This window comes from Homo sapiens, chromosome 12, assembly GCF_000001405.40.
Source record: "Homo sapiens chromosome 12, GRCh38.p14 Primary Assembly".
NCBI lineage: Eukaryota > Metazoa > Chordata > Mammalia > Primates > Hominidae > Homo > Homo sapiens.
Window position 1 is genome coordinate 20,632,209 of NC_000012.12, and position 15,342 is coordinate 20,647,550.

General features: G+C 35.8%; 1 protein-coding gene across 5 annotated transcripts in view, besides 1 other annotated feature; it reads left to right on the forward strand.

Annotated features, from left to right (window-relative positions):
- The window catches only part of PDE3A (phosphodiesterase 3A), a 320,047-nt gene that overhangs the window by 263,672 nt on the left and 41,033 nt on the right, over window positions 1–15,342 (forward strand). For 4 of the 5 annotated variants that reach the window (NM_001378408.1, NM_000921.5, NM_001244683.2 and 1 more), the window contains 6 exons: window positions 1,485–1,570; window positions 2,694–2,848; window positions 4,892–5,029; window positions 7,638–7,749; window positions 14,282–14,395; window positions 14,543–14,742. In NM_001378408.1, coding sequence (NP_001365337.1) covers window positions 1,485–1,570; window positions 2,694–2,848; window positions 4,892–5,029; window positions 7,638–7,749; window positions 14,282–14,395; window positions 14,543–14,742 — 805 coding nt within the window. The remainder of the gene's footprint in view (window positions 1–1,484; window positions 1,571–2,693; window positions 2,849–4,891; window positions 5,030–7,637; window positions 7,750–14,281; window positions 14,396–14,542; window positions 14,743–15,342) is intronic. The other variant, NM_001378407.1, reaches the window with a different exon arrangement.
- Window positions 14,147–14,441: a silencer, noted in NCBI's record as "tiled region #13494; HepG2 Repressive DNase unmatched - State 12:CtcfO". NCBI's record gives its function as "represses a minimal TATA promoter and a strong SV40 promoter by Sharpr-MPRA in HepG2 cells {active_cell/tissue: HepG2}" and the evidence as "EXISTENCE:reporter gene assay evidence [ECO:0000049][PMID:27701403]".

Here is a 15,342-nt window from a genome sequence, read left to right on the forward strand (position 1 = left end):
AACCCAAACTGACAGATTTAATAATTAGAAATATTTTACAGGTAACGTTTTTCTATTTACACTCAAGGGTTGAAAAGTAAAGTTACTTAGTATGCAGATACGGTCTACCTACCTCTTCTCTTAGTGCACACACGAGCACAATTCAGGAAAAAAAATGATGAGTTATTTAAGATATTAAACAATAAGCTATCACTACTTTTTTCATTTTAGAGTGGGTAGTCTGTGGTTAAATAACAAACAAAAAAATCCCCTGAGACCCTTTGTAATATCAGTCAGAAGGAAAGAACCCAGCAGCAAATGCAGAATCAAAATCTAATCATGAAGTTTCTAAACAAGACAGAAGAGGGAAGAGCCAGTTTATGGCCTGTGCCAGGCCATTTGTGGGGTTACTGTTTAATATTTAAAACAGTCAAACTTCATTCCTCCAACACCCTCTGTTAGAGGGCATTGCTCACCTCTCTTACCTTTGTTTTTCTTGGTGGTTTACGGTACATCTAGGGCCTGTTTCTCTCAACCAGCATCCTATGTAGTCAGTCATCAAAATGCACCCCTCTTTTGTTCATTTCCTTAGGGCCTTAACAAGTAACTGATCGATCTGAAAAAAAGAAGTCAATTTTTATTTTTTAGCAAAACATAAAATTCATATACTATCATTCTATTTCAACCTATGCTGTCTTAAAGTTCTGTTTAGACATAAAAATATCATAACCCAATTAAATAAAATAAATCTAATAATGAGGCTTTTTTTTTTTTTTTTTTTGAGATGGAGTCTTGCTCTGTTACCCAGGCTGGAGTGCAGTGGTGCAATCTCCACTCACTGCAGCCTCCATCTCCCAGGTTCAAGCGATTCTCCTGCCTCAGCCTCCCCAAGTAGCTGGTATTACAGGCATCCACCACCCTGCCTGGCAATTTTTGTATTTTTAGTAGAGATGGGATTTCACCATGTTGGCCAGGCTGGTCTTGAACTCCTGACCTCAGGTGGTCCACCTGCCTTGGCCTCGAAAAGTGCTGGGATTACAGGCGTGAGCCCATAATGAGCTTTTAAGCAGCCTGGCCCATAATGAGGCTTTTAAGCCGACAGAAAGGTATTTATTGGGGAAGATAACTTTTGTCTAAATATAGGTCAACACCTGCAAAATGGCTACTATAAGTAGGTAGCAGCCTATACCAGTATTCTCTAAATAATCTAACAAAATTTTACCATCACTTTCACCTCAAATATGATCTAGATAAAGGAGGAGGAGAATGAGAGTCAAATGAACTTTCTAATCCTTTGTATTGATTACTCTCTCACAAAAAAGAAAGTAGTACACTGCATATCAGCATTTATGTATCAAACAAAATGCATATTTTCACAAAACAAATAAGCAGAAGGTAGAAATATTTGACTATTGTTGTTTATCTTAATGTATACATAGATGGTATGTGCCTATGACTTTTTGAAAAGAGGAGGCTACACCTATAGCTCTTCCAATATTTTTTAGCTGTGGCAGACCATATTCCCAAGGGAATCCTGCTGATGAGCCCCTGGAGAGAAGTGGGGTAGCCACTCGGACACCAAGTAGAACAGGTAATTCATTGTTTTGGATTCTGTTGCCCAAAATGGAAATTGCCTTATTTTTGTTTTCCTGATCAAAACAGTGATCTACATTTCTGATATTTTGTGGGGCGCTGGGAGACGGGGTCTCATGATGTTGGTCAGGTCGGTCTCAAACTCCTGGCCTCAAGTGATCCTCCCGCCTCAGCCTCTTGAAGTACTAGGATTACAGGCATGAGCCACTGTGCCCAGCCTGATTTTTTAAATTATAGATTTAAAAGGACAAGGGAGAAAATTAAAATCATCTGTACTCCTACTCTCTAGAGTTAATCATTGGTAAAGTTTGGGTGCAAAGCTTTCCAAAATTTTTTAATACATTTATACATGTGTATATTTTTAAAACACAAGAGGCCATTTTATATAATATATAGAACTATATAGAAATATTATTTTATCTTGCTACTTCTGACATTGGAAGTACTTTAAGTGGTTCCCAAAACATAGCAAATACTCAATAAACTTCCTTCAGGCACCTTAGTCAGCTATGAGAAATGTCACAGTTGCTCAGAGAGGATAGACTTCAGACTCTGGGTGTTTACTGATTGGTCTTTTAGTTAGCACAGTTTACTGCTGACTGAAATGGCGACAGTGAAGAAGGACAGATGAGGAAGGAAGCCACAGGATTCCAAGAAATAGGATTGGATACATAGGATTGCCCATGCTCCCAAGCATATGCCATCACTCTGTGCTACACAGAGAACTTTATTCCTGGGTGTGTCAACTCAGTTTCTCCCACCTCACGTGCCCGTTCTAGAGTGTTTTAGTCACTCAGTGGTTTAATGTATAGGGAGAGAAATAGAGAAAAAAGAAACATAAAGCTGTAGGATTTGTTAAAGGTATGAACTGTTGATCTAAAAAATATTATTGAGGGGTTATTGAATGTCATGCGGATTACAGATTATAATTTCCATCTGTTTTACTTTGTTAAGAGATGTGTGATGTTCTCCACCCTATGATCCTATGTTCTTGGAGTGCTCAGGAAAGCAGTATTTCCCTAAACACTATATTTACCATATGCATCTTAGCAAAATTTGCTTAAATGAGCCCCCTTTCCCCATTGTAGATCTTGTAATAAGTTGTTCTCTTTTAATTGTAGATGACACTGCTCAAGTTACCTCTGATTATGAAACCAATAACAACAGTGACAGCAGTGACATTGTACAGAATGAAGATGAAACAGAGTGCCTGAGAGAGCCTCTGAGGAAAGCATCGGCTTGCAGCACCTATGCTCCTGAGACCATGATGTTTCTGGTAGTCCCATATCACTTAACTCACTCATTTACTTGAGAGATGAGCTTCTGTTACAGATATTGGCTCAGAAATGAATCTTTGAGGCCAGGCAAGGTGGCTCACACCTGTAATCCCAACATTTTGGGAGGACGAAGCGGGCAGATCACGAGGTCAGGAGTTCGAGACCAGCCTGACCAATATGGTGAAACCCCTATCTGTAATAAAAATACAAAAAAATTACCCAGGCATAGCCAGGTGCAGTGGCTCACGCCTGTAATCCCAGCACTTTGGGAGGCCAAGGCGGGAGTATCACGAGGTCAGCAATGAGTTCAAGACCAGCCTGACCAACATGGTGAAACCCCGTCTCTACTAAAAATACCAAAATTACCAAAATTAGCCGGGCGTGGTGGCACGCACCTGTATTCCCAGCTACGCAGGAGGCTGAGGCAGTAGAATCGCTTGAACCCAGGAGGTGGAGTTTGCAGTGAGCCAAGATCGTGCCATTGCACTCCAGCCTGCGCAATAGAGGGAGACTCTGTCTCAAAAAAAAAAAAAAGAAAGAAAGAAATTACCCAGGCATGGTGGCAGGTGCCTGTAATCCCAGCTACCTGGGAGGCTGAGGGAGGAGAATCACTTGAACCCAGGAGGCGGAGGTTGCAGTGAGCTGAGATCATGCCACTGCACACCAGCCTGGGCAACAGAGTGCCACTCTATCTCAAAAAAAAAAAAAAAAAAAGAAATTAATCTCTGAAACATGAGATTTACAGATGTATTTCATCCGGATTAAACATGTATTACAGCCCTTCCCATACATATCAATATATTTTTTCTCTTTCCAAGCATTATTGGTCTCTTAATGGTTCTATTATCTGGTGATTAGAAGCATAAGTATTTATAGTTATACAATAATTGCAGATATTTATTAACCCAATCAAAAAGTAAATATAGGAAAATGTATTATTTCATTCCTTAAAACAATATTTTATAAAGAAAGAAAAGAAAGATGAAGGAAGGGAGGGAAGAAGATATTCATTGTCTTAGGGCATCTGCTGGTTTTCTCTAGTATCTCCTTGACTTAGAACATGAACCAATATTTGTTTTTCTTGTCATATTGTCAGGCATATATTGGCACTAGCCACCTATTAAAATATTCTTTAATGATTACTTACTTTGTGTATTTAAAAAGATCCATTTAAGGAGGATGGAAGCATATATTTGAGTCAGCTTCATTTTGGGGAGGTGGCAAGTGGTAGAAAACTGTTGACTCTCAAGTGATCATCAATGGCTGCTATTATCATTTTTCTTTTACTGTATTTACTGTTTGTATTTCTAAGTCAGAGAGATCGTCAGGTAAAATAATGTATATGTTTCCCTATCCTCATTCTCTTTCTTCTTTTTTGGCAAATGTACTCTTAAGAACATCCTCGTTTGGGACCAATTATAAAAAACCTTTACTTTTACGTAGTACATGTTTCTCAAGAAACAGTAGGTCACATGAAATAAATTAAAATCCCTAAAAAATATGGCAATTGTTATTCTATAGGATTAATGTCCATTTTAAAGCATTAATATAAACTTAATTAATAATAGTAGGAATGATCAGGTCCTACTACTCATGGATTTCTTTTGAGAGCTTAATTTAAGGAGGGAACCCTCATCTCAGAAAAATTTACATGACTATGTAGAGATATAAATTTACATGTAATTTCAGAATATTCTGAAGTCTTTAAAACTTTATTTAAGAACCTTGCAGTAGTCCCAAAGTAGTTATACTAACTTATAGAAGAAACATCCGTGTTTTTGCTGGAGTGTATATGGACCAGTGATAGGCAAGCACCTAATAGTGCAAAATTTATATCTGAAATGGCATTTGTTCCTTTCCTTCTTACTTTGGCGTCAATGTCTCGTTCATGTTGACTTTTTTAAGCAAAGATCACTTATTCACCTTGGAGTTTTAAGTCATTTATTTCCGATAGCCACAGTTGTTATTGAATTTAGCAAAGCACAAATTGCCCTGTAGAAAAACTGCATGCTGTTTAAGTATTTTAATGTTAAACATTACAGGACAAACCAATTCTTGCTCCCGAACCTCTTGTCATGGATAACCTGGACTCAATTATGGAGCAGCTAAATACTTGGAATTTTCCAATTTTTGATTTAGTGGAAAATATAGGAAGAAAATGTGGCCGTATTCTTAGTCAGGTAAGAAATGCATTCATTCACACTAATTTAAATATAGGAAAAACAGTTCCTTTGTTGCTTAAAGCTCTGTAAATTCTTGACACTTGTGGATAGGTGTTATGTGGAGAAAGGAAGTTTTAGAACACAACATTCTGTAGATTCCTTGCTGTGTGTTAACAAAAGAAACTGGAACTTCAAGTGAGTCGAGTGTCATATTCTACAATTAAAATATGATATATTTTTAAAGACAAAGTAGGTGGGGATAGAGATATATAGACAAGGGACAAACGATCTAGAATTCATAGAATTAAGCAAAAGAAAATCTGACACAAGCCTCTAAAAGAAGAAAACTGCCTATTTAGAGATACTAATTTATTGTCTGTAATTATTTTTGATGACTTTTTAAAAACTTTTGAATATTACAGAGCTTAGGCCTTATCAAAGATAATACATTGTGCCAAAATGTGTTTCCTCCTAGTGTTATGAAAAACACATCACATAGAGTTATAGAATAATACTGTTGCTGCATAACCAGCCTTTGAGTATTGTTTTCTTTAGGCTAGACTACTCTCAAGGCTTTTCACATAAATAATTACTTGTTTTGCTGAAGAAGAAAGAAAACATGTAGAAATTAAGAATTTGAAAATGTTTGTTTTAAACCATAAAACAAAATGATGGATTTGCTGTACTATGGAATAGCTATCGAAATACACACCCTTAATTAAATAAAGAGGATGGTGTGATAATATGTATCAGCTTATCTTCACATGTTTTAGGTGTATTCTTATAAATTTGAATAAGTATCACAGCAGAGATAGTAAAGACCATCAAACTTGTGAATATAAGACTTAGGTAAGAATTCAAGACCCAACCCAGATCTACTGGGGCCACTAACACTTCTCTGCAAAACAATAGAAGAGAAATCACTGAAATGCTGATTTCTATGCAGTGCATCAGAGATGAGCTTTCTTTGGACCACTCAACACATGTCTCAATGTGGAACTTCGTTTGGGGTGAGAATCCTAATCTGTGAAGATTGAAGGGAAAAGATAGCAGGCCTTTCTTCTAGTGTTTGATTCTACAAGCACATATGGCTGTCTAGTCTAGGGGTACACTAACATTATTGATGGAATATAAGACACAAAATTCTTACAAAGTCTGTAAAATATTCAATTATTGCCTCTGCTAGACTCTATTCTGTCCATCACCATGTTGAGGAATATAATGGCAGCCCTTGCACTTTGCTAGGAGTTGAGAGTCCTGTTCCTCTTCCCTTCCTTTCTTCTTGGTGCTAAGCAATGTCTCTTACACTAGCTGATCTTCAGGACAGATTTAAGGGTAGCTGTTCAGTCCAATTCACCTTAGCCTCATACTTTAGGGATCCCCCTGGGAGATTGTGTATTTTCTTTCTGAAACCCATGGAAAACTGCAACTTTGAGGGAGTGATCTTTCCTGCAAATAAGCCTGTAACGGTGCCACAGGATGTGGCAATGAGTCAGGAAGCATTTTCTCTCTTGATTTTATTTTTTTGCTAGGGAGTGTGTTCCCTGGTATAGAGAGACACATCTCATCTCATTTTATATTTGATGTATATCTCACAGACTCTCGAAAACTTAATCTTCATAGTAACTTTAGTGCAGGTTTTTTTTTTAAATATGTATCTTATAGAAGAAGAAACTAAGGCTTAAAAGAGGCTATGCTACTCTTCTAAAGTCATATAGTAAATATTCAACCCAGGATTCCAAAGCAGATTTATCCATATCAGAAGCCTAGGGCTTTTACATTCATTCAATTGCTTCTCATATCTTCATAAAACACCTTGACTTATTATATCTTCAAGTTCTCCAAATGAGGATTCATACCTAGTAGAAAAGTGGTTATGATAGCAGTCAGTTTTACAGCACAAATGACAGCATACAGAATTTCATTACAGGTACCAACCACTCCCTTGAAGTTCTGTGAGCTGGGAATGGGAGAAAACAATTTGACCAAAATTGCTACAAAATATTTTCTAAGAGTCATGGATACCAGTAGACAATAAAAAGATTAAGGATAATTAACAATTAGATCCATGCAAAATTCAATAATGTATCTTTTGTTCCAATCATGTTCCAAAAACAGAGTAATATATTGATATATGATCCTTATTAGTCACTGTTTATGTTCCTAATTTCCCAGACATTAAACTTTGAACAAATGTAGTTTCATATGACTTGCTAAGTAGAACTTTTTGGGATTTTTCCTTTTATTTGAGTTTATAAGAACAAAAATCATGAAATTTTCATTATGGAAAATATGTATATATTTTTGCCATAGTGAGACTTTAGGACAGCTGAAATGAATTAATGTGAACATTCCAATAAATCACCTTTTGGCTGAGACTAAATGGAAAAAGTCTCATTTCAAAAGATTTTTAAGGAGACATGTGCAATGGAAATAAGTTCTCAGTTTCAATATACAGCCTGCCTTTTGATGACTATCATTTTAACCAACTTAAAAGGACACCCTTCAGATTTTGAAAAGGCATTTAATGTTTTCCGTTACCGATATTTACCTAGTTTCACCACTGTTCTCTTTATGTCTGACATACACATAGGGATGTTTCATAAGGCTTTGTCTTCTTTTACAGGTATCTTACAGACTTTTTGAAGACATGGGCCTCTTTGAAGCTTTTAAAATTCCAATTAGGGAATTTATGAATTATTTTCATGCTTTGGAGATTGGATATAGGGATATTCCTTGTAAGTATATGTGATTTGTGAAATAATACTTTTAAAATATGTCGAATTTGCTGTGGGTAAATGGGATAGTGAATCATTAGCAGGTAGCACAGAATTACACATGGTAGACGCTCAATATGGAGACATCATATGGTGATTAGGAAATATCGCCTGTGTGTTAGAATCCTGGCCCCTTTACTTTTCAGCTGTGTGAGACCCTAGGGTTTACTTAAGCTCTACATGCCTCATTTCTTAGTTCATAAAATGAGAATTATAGTACCTGATTCATATGATTGTTAGGATCAAATAAGATTATAATTTTAAAGAGGTTATTTTAGTGCCTAGCACACAGTAAGTCTGACATAAGTCCACTTTAATATGGCTATTTTTTGGAAATAAATAAATACTAAATTTATTGCCCATTTAATAACCCATCCCTTTTATTGGGTAAATTCAACTTTTGTTGTGGCATCTGAAGAGTTAAGTCACTATATATGTTTTCTCCACGTAAGATAAAGTTGGCTGGCGTTTAGAGGGACAGGAGGATGATGGTCTGATGAATAAAATAGAAAAGACATATGGAAGTGGTTATGGAAAAATGATAAGAAACACTTAAAAAATCAGGTAAATGGAAAGACCCAAGGAAAACACACAATCAAGTATTCAAGCTTTGAGTCTTGTGGGAATAAGTTTCCCATTTATAACAACAAGAAATCGGAACACAGAGGAGATGTTAAATTTTCATTATGTAGCATTTCAGGAATCATCGATTATAACACATAAGTAAAATGGTCCTATAGTGCTACGAAATATATGGTTTGGGAGACAGTGTCTATAGGTCGAAACAGGGAAATTGTGGAGATGTTCAAAAATCATGTAACACATGAAGGAAATAAATATATAGAAAGAAAAATAATCAAACATAATATATTGATCGGAACATGTCTTGGAAATATGTTATTTAAATCATATTTTAGCTTTTAAGCTTTTAAAAGTTTTAAAAGCTTTTATATTTGCTTATGCACCTCAGACTTCAGAGTCCCATAACTTTTTCGTAATTGTAAAGAGCTGAAATTACATTAAAAAATAATTAATACTAATAAAACACAAGTATTTCCAGGAAGGGGTATCACATCAACTTAGGGATTTATTATGAGCATATTTATTGTTTTCAAAATCCCATCCACCTGCTACATTGGAATGAATATACACAGCTGTTAGTGTATCATAGAAAAAGAGAATGAAAAACTGAATCTACAAGTGAGATTTTCTGAAGAATGTGGGACCAAAATACAGACAGAGTAAGGCAGTTGGAGTACGGGAAAGAGGAGCTCAACAGTACCAGGGCCCCTGGGAACATCTGGCTGACAAATCCATGGAAGTTGGAAGAGAAACATGAAAAAAGGGGTAGTTGGAAAGGATCTCAAGATAAGCCTTGCTTTCTTAATACAGTTTTCCCAGGGCCCACCCTGGTTGGATGCCAGTGATTGACCTAAGTGTTCACGATTTCTCGAAGGTCAAGGAGTTATATAAATAAACTTTTATAGAAAGGAAGACACTAAAAACACTAAGGAACAGCTAATCACTAGACTGAATTTCCAAATTCATGTTATATTTTCAAATGTATTTTAATGATGTAATTAGCCATAGCAAAGTTCCACTGAGTTCAAATTGATACTAAACTCCATAGACATAACTACCAACTTTTTCACAGGTGGTATATCATTAAATCATAGTTGAAAGATGGCAAATGTTTAAGTACAAAAATAAGTTTTCAGATTCTAAGATTTATTATTCACTTTTATATTTTCTTATTACATTTTTATATGTTACAAGTAATAGATATTTTTTACCCCTGAAATAGTGGGTTCTTTATTCCAGGTGAAAAGAACTTGTTGTAATAAACCTGCTTGTTCTATTAGAAGTCCCAGATAGTCTCCATAAAGGGAATTTATTTACATCTTCTCATAGGAAAGCTCTAGCTTCATTTGTGATCACTTTTATCTAATAATATTTCATATGTGCTGAGATTGTAAATTAATATGAATATTTATTAAAATCTTCACTTATCATTAGTTATAATCAGCACATACAAAAATTTGCTGTATACCTACTTGTTTTAATATTTATTTTGGACTATATTTCTAATGGTCCTATCTAAATAAATCCTTAGTTGAAAAGAAGCATAAGAGGAACCAAAGTTAAAATGGGGTTGGTTTAACTTTAATATGATAATGTGTGCAAATATTAGAAACTAAATTTCTTATTATAGTTCTAAGTGTACCTTTAACGGTTTTCAAGAAAAGAGGGTAAGTAGGAAAGCTTTTAAATTTGTAATTAGAATCCTTACAAAAATTGAAGAATCTAGATTTAAACAGAGAATTAAAGTAATTTCATGGTAGTAGCAATAGAAAGACAAGAAATATGGTCAACTCAATAATATAAATGTGATAAAAATGTATTTGTTCAATCAAACTTAGGATAAATTAATGTATGGTGAATACCCAATTGCATAAGGAGATAAATAATGTTTGGTGTCATTCATAGTCCCTTTCAGTTGGGCATTTTACTTAATAAAAAATCCATTCATATTCATTCATCGATCCAGTTATTTTTGAAGGTAGTTTTTATTTTCAAAGAGTTTCCTCTCTAAAGCATATTCTCCCTAACACCTCTCATTCTGATTTAAGTTTGAGAAGTGGGGAGAATGCCTCAGAAGTACCTGTGATCATGTAGCTATTTCATGGCAGCAATGAGAATAGTCCTGCTCAACCTATATTTAGTTCAGTTCAATTCAGCTGTACATGATGTGCCCACTGATTTTAAAGCTAGATATTGAAGTGACATGGTACATGCTAGAGGGGCAGAACTACCAGAGTATTAACTATATTCCAAAAGAAAAAAAAATATTTAAAGTGTTACCTCTATTCTTTATTACTTCTTCTTACCCTATGGTGCATAGGAGCATAGACAAAATTTTAAATACAAAATATATAAATTTGGATCTTAAAATCTGTGAATTTACATACAACTCCAACCCTCCATACCAGCTCACTTCAACTCTGTGCTTGAGGGAAAAGGAGAAAGTTGAGAAAACAAGTGTATCAAGACGGAAGAGGGAGATGGGCGGACTCTGGGAAAGAGGTAGGGTGTACCATGTGCTAGTGTATGCATGTGCGTCTATATGTTATTAAAGAGGGCGAGGGGGTTGCCACATGAGTGAAGGTGTCATCGAGAAGGCTAGGGGTTTGTCCAAAATGCAGAGATGAAGGAAGAAGTATGATGAGAATAAGGATAAAATAAGGATAGCTCTGATAGCATTTCTTATCCTTCTCAGTTGCCTACCCTGGCCAGAAGAAGAAGAGGAATCTTTGAGCATTTTTATGTATTACATAGAAACCTGTCAGTAACTTACATTGACCTTGCTAGCTTCTTTCCTGGGTGTCTTTGCTCCTGGGTTGGGTTACCAGAGAATTAATGACAAGAACAATGGAGATGCCAGCACTTGGCATAATACTGAGTACATGCTAAGTGAATATTTGATTAATAAACATGTCACTGACTGCTAACAGGACAGATGGTTTTCTATTCTTCAATCTAAGTGATTGATGACAGTATTATTCTCCTACACATACACACATATAACTAGATGTATATGTTTAGATAAGCAGCTGGATTTGGTTAGTGATTTTTTTTTTATTTAGTACTTTTAAACCTGTACTCGAAAGCAAAAGGAACATGTTTAAATATACATACTGTCTTTACCTCGTTTTTAAATCAAGATTGTACCAGCCTCATAAAATGAGTTTGGCAGCTTTTCTTCTTGTATTTTCGGCACTAGATTATTTACTTAGGATTAATTGCTTGTTGAAAGTTTGTTTTTTGTTTTTTTGTTTTTTTAAAATAAAACATTACCTATAAAGTTTTCTGGGCCTGGGCCTTGGGGTGGGGGACAGGGTGGATTAGAGCTCAAAAGGATTAGAGCTCAAAAGCTGCAAGTTCACCTGGAATAGATGTTATCAATTCCTTACCCCAAACAGGCTCTGCCAACACTGTGATACTGCCCCCCATCCACCTCCGTACTGCTATGCTCATGCACAGGTTTCTCTGACTTGCAACAATAATAGTAACTACTGGCATATAGTAATCTTCCCAGCTTGCAACAGGAGAAGATAATTTAAGAAGCTGGCTTCCAACATATCTCCCAAAAGTGGAACCCTACTCCCAGACTGCCATTTTCCTACCATAACAGGTCATTACTATCTTCTACCGATGGAGGCAGAAGATATTTTATTTTATTCTTACAAATCCAGCATTGATTCTGGGAGAAAGCTGGTGATCTATACTAGTTCTGTCTTGTTCTACAGCAGCAATTTATTTTACATGAATAATGTTTACACAAATTACAAATTCACCGTGTATCTGGCCCTTTAAAATATATTTCCTAATGTAATTGTCACAATTGTACCATGAATTTGGCAATATTATTCCCGTATTTTTAAGATAAATAAGACTTTTTACTCTGTCTTATTTTTAAGATAAGGAAGTGGATTTTAAGTAACTCACCCAAGTTAGCATGGATAATATTATAGCAGAGGTAAAAGCACACCTGTCCCAAATCCAGAAAATTCTAGTATGATCAATTTCATAAATAGCCCAAGTACAGACATAAAATATGATCGTAATTCTCTTGCCTGTGAATTATTTGTAAATGTAATGGGCTCATATCACTGGAGATGGGCTATACTCAGGGATATAGATGTCAATCTTAATGAAATTGCTCTTTCAAGTACCATATAATATTATTACTCATATTTACGATTGACACAGGTATACAAGTTTTGCTATTTTCTCCTCAGGAGGCTAGGATTTGAGCCTCCTCCTCCTCCTCCTTCCCCTCCTCCTCCTCCTCCTCCCCCTCCTCCCCCTCTTCCCCCTCTTCCTCTTCTTCCTTCTTTTTTTTTTTTTTTTGGATACAGTTTTACTCTTTCACCCAGGCTGGAGTGCAGTGGCGCAGTCTCAGCTCACTGCAACCTCCACCTCCTGGGTTCAAGCGATTCTCCTGCCTCAGCCTCCCGAGTAGCTGGGATTACAGGTGCCCACCACCACGCTCGGCTAATTTTTGTATTTTTGGTATAGACGGGATTTTACCATGTTGGCCAGGCTGAACTTGAGCTCCTGACTTCAAATGATCCACTCACCTCAGCCTCCCAAAATGCTGGAATTACAGGCATGAGCCACTGCACCTGGCCAGAGTTGAGTTTCTTTAAGCTCTTCTGATGAGATCTTTTCAAACCCACATCCAGGCCTTTCCACTGAATTTCTAGGGTGTTTACCTAAGATTTAGCTGCATATTGTCACTTAAAGACTGATTCCTAATGGCTGCCAGAAATTTAACACCTACCCAGGTGCTACAATTGCCACATTGACCATAGGTTTCCTCTTTCTTCTCTGACTAGGGAATAGGTGTTTCTCTCATATTCTCATTGTCATTCTTGTTCTCTCCTGTTTCTCTCTTCTCCTTATTTTAAGTATTATGAAGAAATGTAATCTCTTATACTAGAGAAGGAAACAGTATCATGGTTGGTTAGCAGAAATACAATATATAAAGTATAGGTATTTACAATATGTAAATACAATAGAATAAAGCATACTAATCAGTGAAGTATTATGAGGGGTCTGATAAACAAAAAACTTGGAAGAATTGCACAGAAAAGGAAGGTGAGCCAAGAGCACACTGGGCACGTGGTTATGGTTTGAAAGAAGTTGAACTGCACATGTGGAGTATGACCCCCTTCCCTTGATGATGGCATTATGACCAGATGGCATTATCTGGTTAATGGCATCATCAACCAGATGATGGCATTATCTGGTTTTCCTGTAGGTTTTAACTCTTCTAAATGGCTTAGCTTCCTACATTATTATACAAGAGGCTTTTCTTTTTCTTTTTAAGTATTTCTTAGAACTATATTCTGAAATTAGAATTTCTAGATCAGAGAATATAATTGATTGTGGCTTTGAATTTTGCTTGTGGATGAAATCTACATATAAAAGATATGTTATTGCAGTGCTTTAAGATTGATACAGAAAAATGGTATTATGTTCTATTCCCAGATTATTTTTGAGTACCATCTATCAGAGATGAAATATTATGTCTCATCTAGTTGAAGTATGTCATAGCTATTACATTTATTCTCATTCTCTGCATAGTTTTATGCAGGAGCATGAAAATAAGTACCAGAGTAAACATTACACTTTTTTCACACAGTATGTTTCCTATATACATAGTTTGTAGTCGACTGTTGACACAGATTTTTCCACTTCAGATACCTGCATGCATAATAAATGTTACAAGTAAGGTTTTTTTCTTGTTACGATGGATGTTATGGAGTTATGGAAGAGTAATCAAATAATATTTGTCCTAGAAAGTTTGGCCAACTTTCATGGAAATAGTAAAATGTTAGGACTAAACTGTTTGTCCAGTAGATGGCACTCTTAGTTCTTGGACCCCAAAGTTCATAAACTGATGACTGTTCCTGTTCACTGGTTACAGATCATAACAGAATCCATGCCACTGATGTTTTACATGCTGTTTGGTATCTTACTACACAGCCTATTCCAGGCCTCTCAACTGTGATTAATGATCATGGTTCAACCAGTGATTCAGGTATGTACGAAGTGAATCTGCACTGCCTTATGAAAGATGGGAACAAGGGTGTTTTTGTTTTTGTTTTTTTTCAAAAAGAAAGAAGTCAAGACAAATAATGTCAGTACTTTTTTAAAAACTTCTTTGACTCTCATTTTCTCTTCTCAGATTCTGACAGTGGATTTACACATGGACATATGGGATATGTATTCTCAAAAACGTATAATGTGACAGATGATAAATACGGATGTCTGTCTGGGAATATCCCTGCCTTGGAGTTGATGGCGCTGTATGTGGCTGCAGCCATGCACGATTATGATCATCCAGGAAGGACTAATGCTTTCCTGGTTGCAACTAGTGCTCCTCAGGTAAATCTTTAGATTTTGGTTAGGAGAACTAATTTAAAGATTTCTCAAGAAAGTGAAGTTCAGTGTGATTTATAACAGGCACCAAGTTAATATAAGCCAAACTATACATAGTCTTACGTTGAAATTCTCAGAGACCGTGCTAATTCTGAAAAGAAGCCATGGATTCTTCCAAGATTCTAATAGCAGGTATACAACTTTATTATCCATGGGAATCATTTCTCAGTTTTCTTCTTAGGAAGAAAACCTACTTGAATTCATGTTAATGGACCTCTTTAACAAACAAAAGGCAACCTATACAAAAGCCCCTTTCTGAAAAGATTAGAGAACCAAGCATTTCTTGGACTTTTAAGAATGTAAGGTTTCTTTGTATATAAATACCATTCCTTTGAAATATATTCAATATAACAATTATGATTCTTATGACATTATCTATAGGTTGGTAGGATTTTAATATCAATTTATTTCATTGGAGGATTTTTTATTTTTTTTGCCTAAACATAGATTCCAAAAACAGTGAATAAATTTAAAGTTCATCTTGGTGTATAGTTCTAAGTAAAAAATTCATCACTAAGTATGTAGACATACCCATTTATACAATCA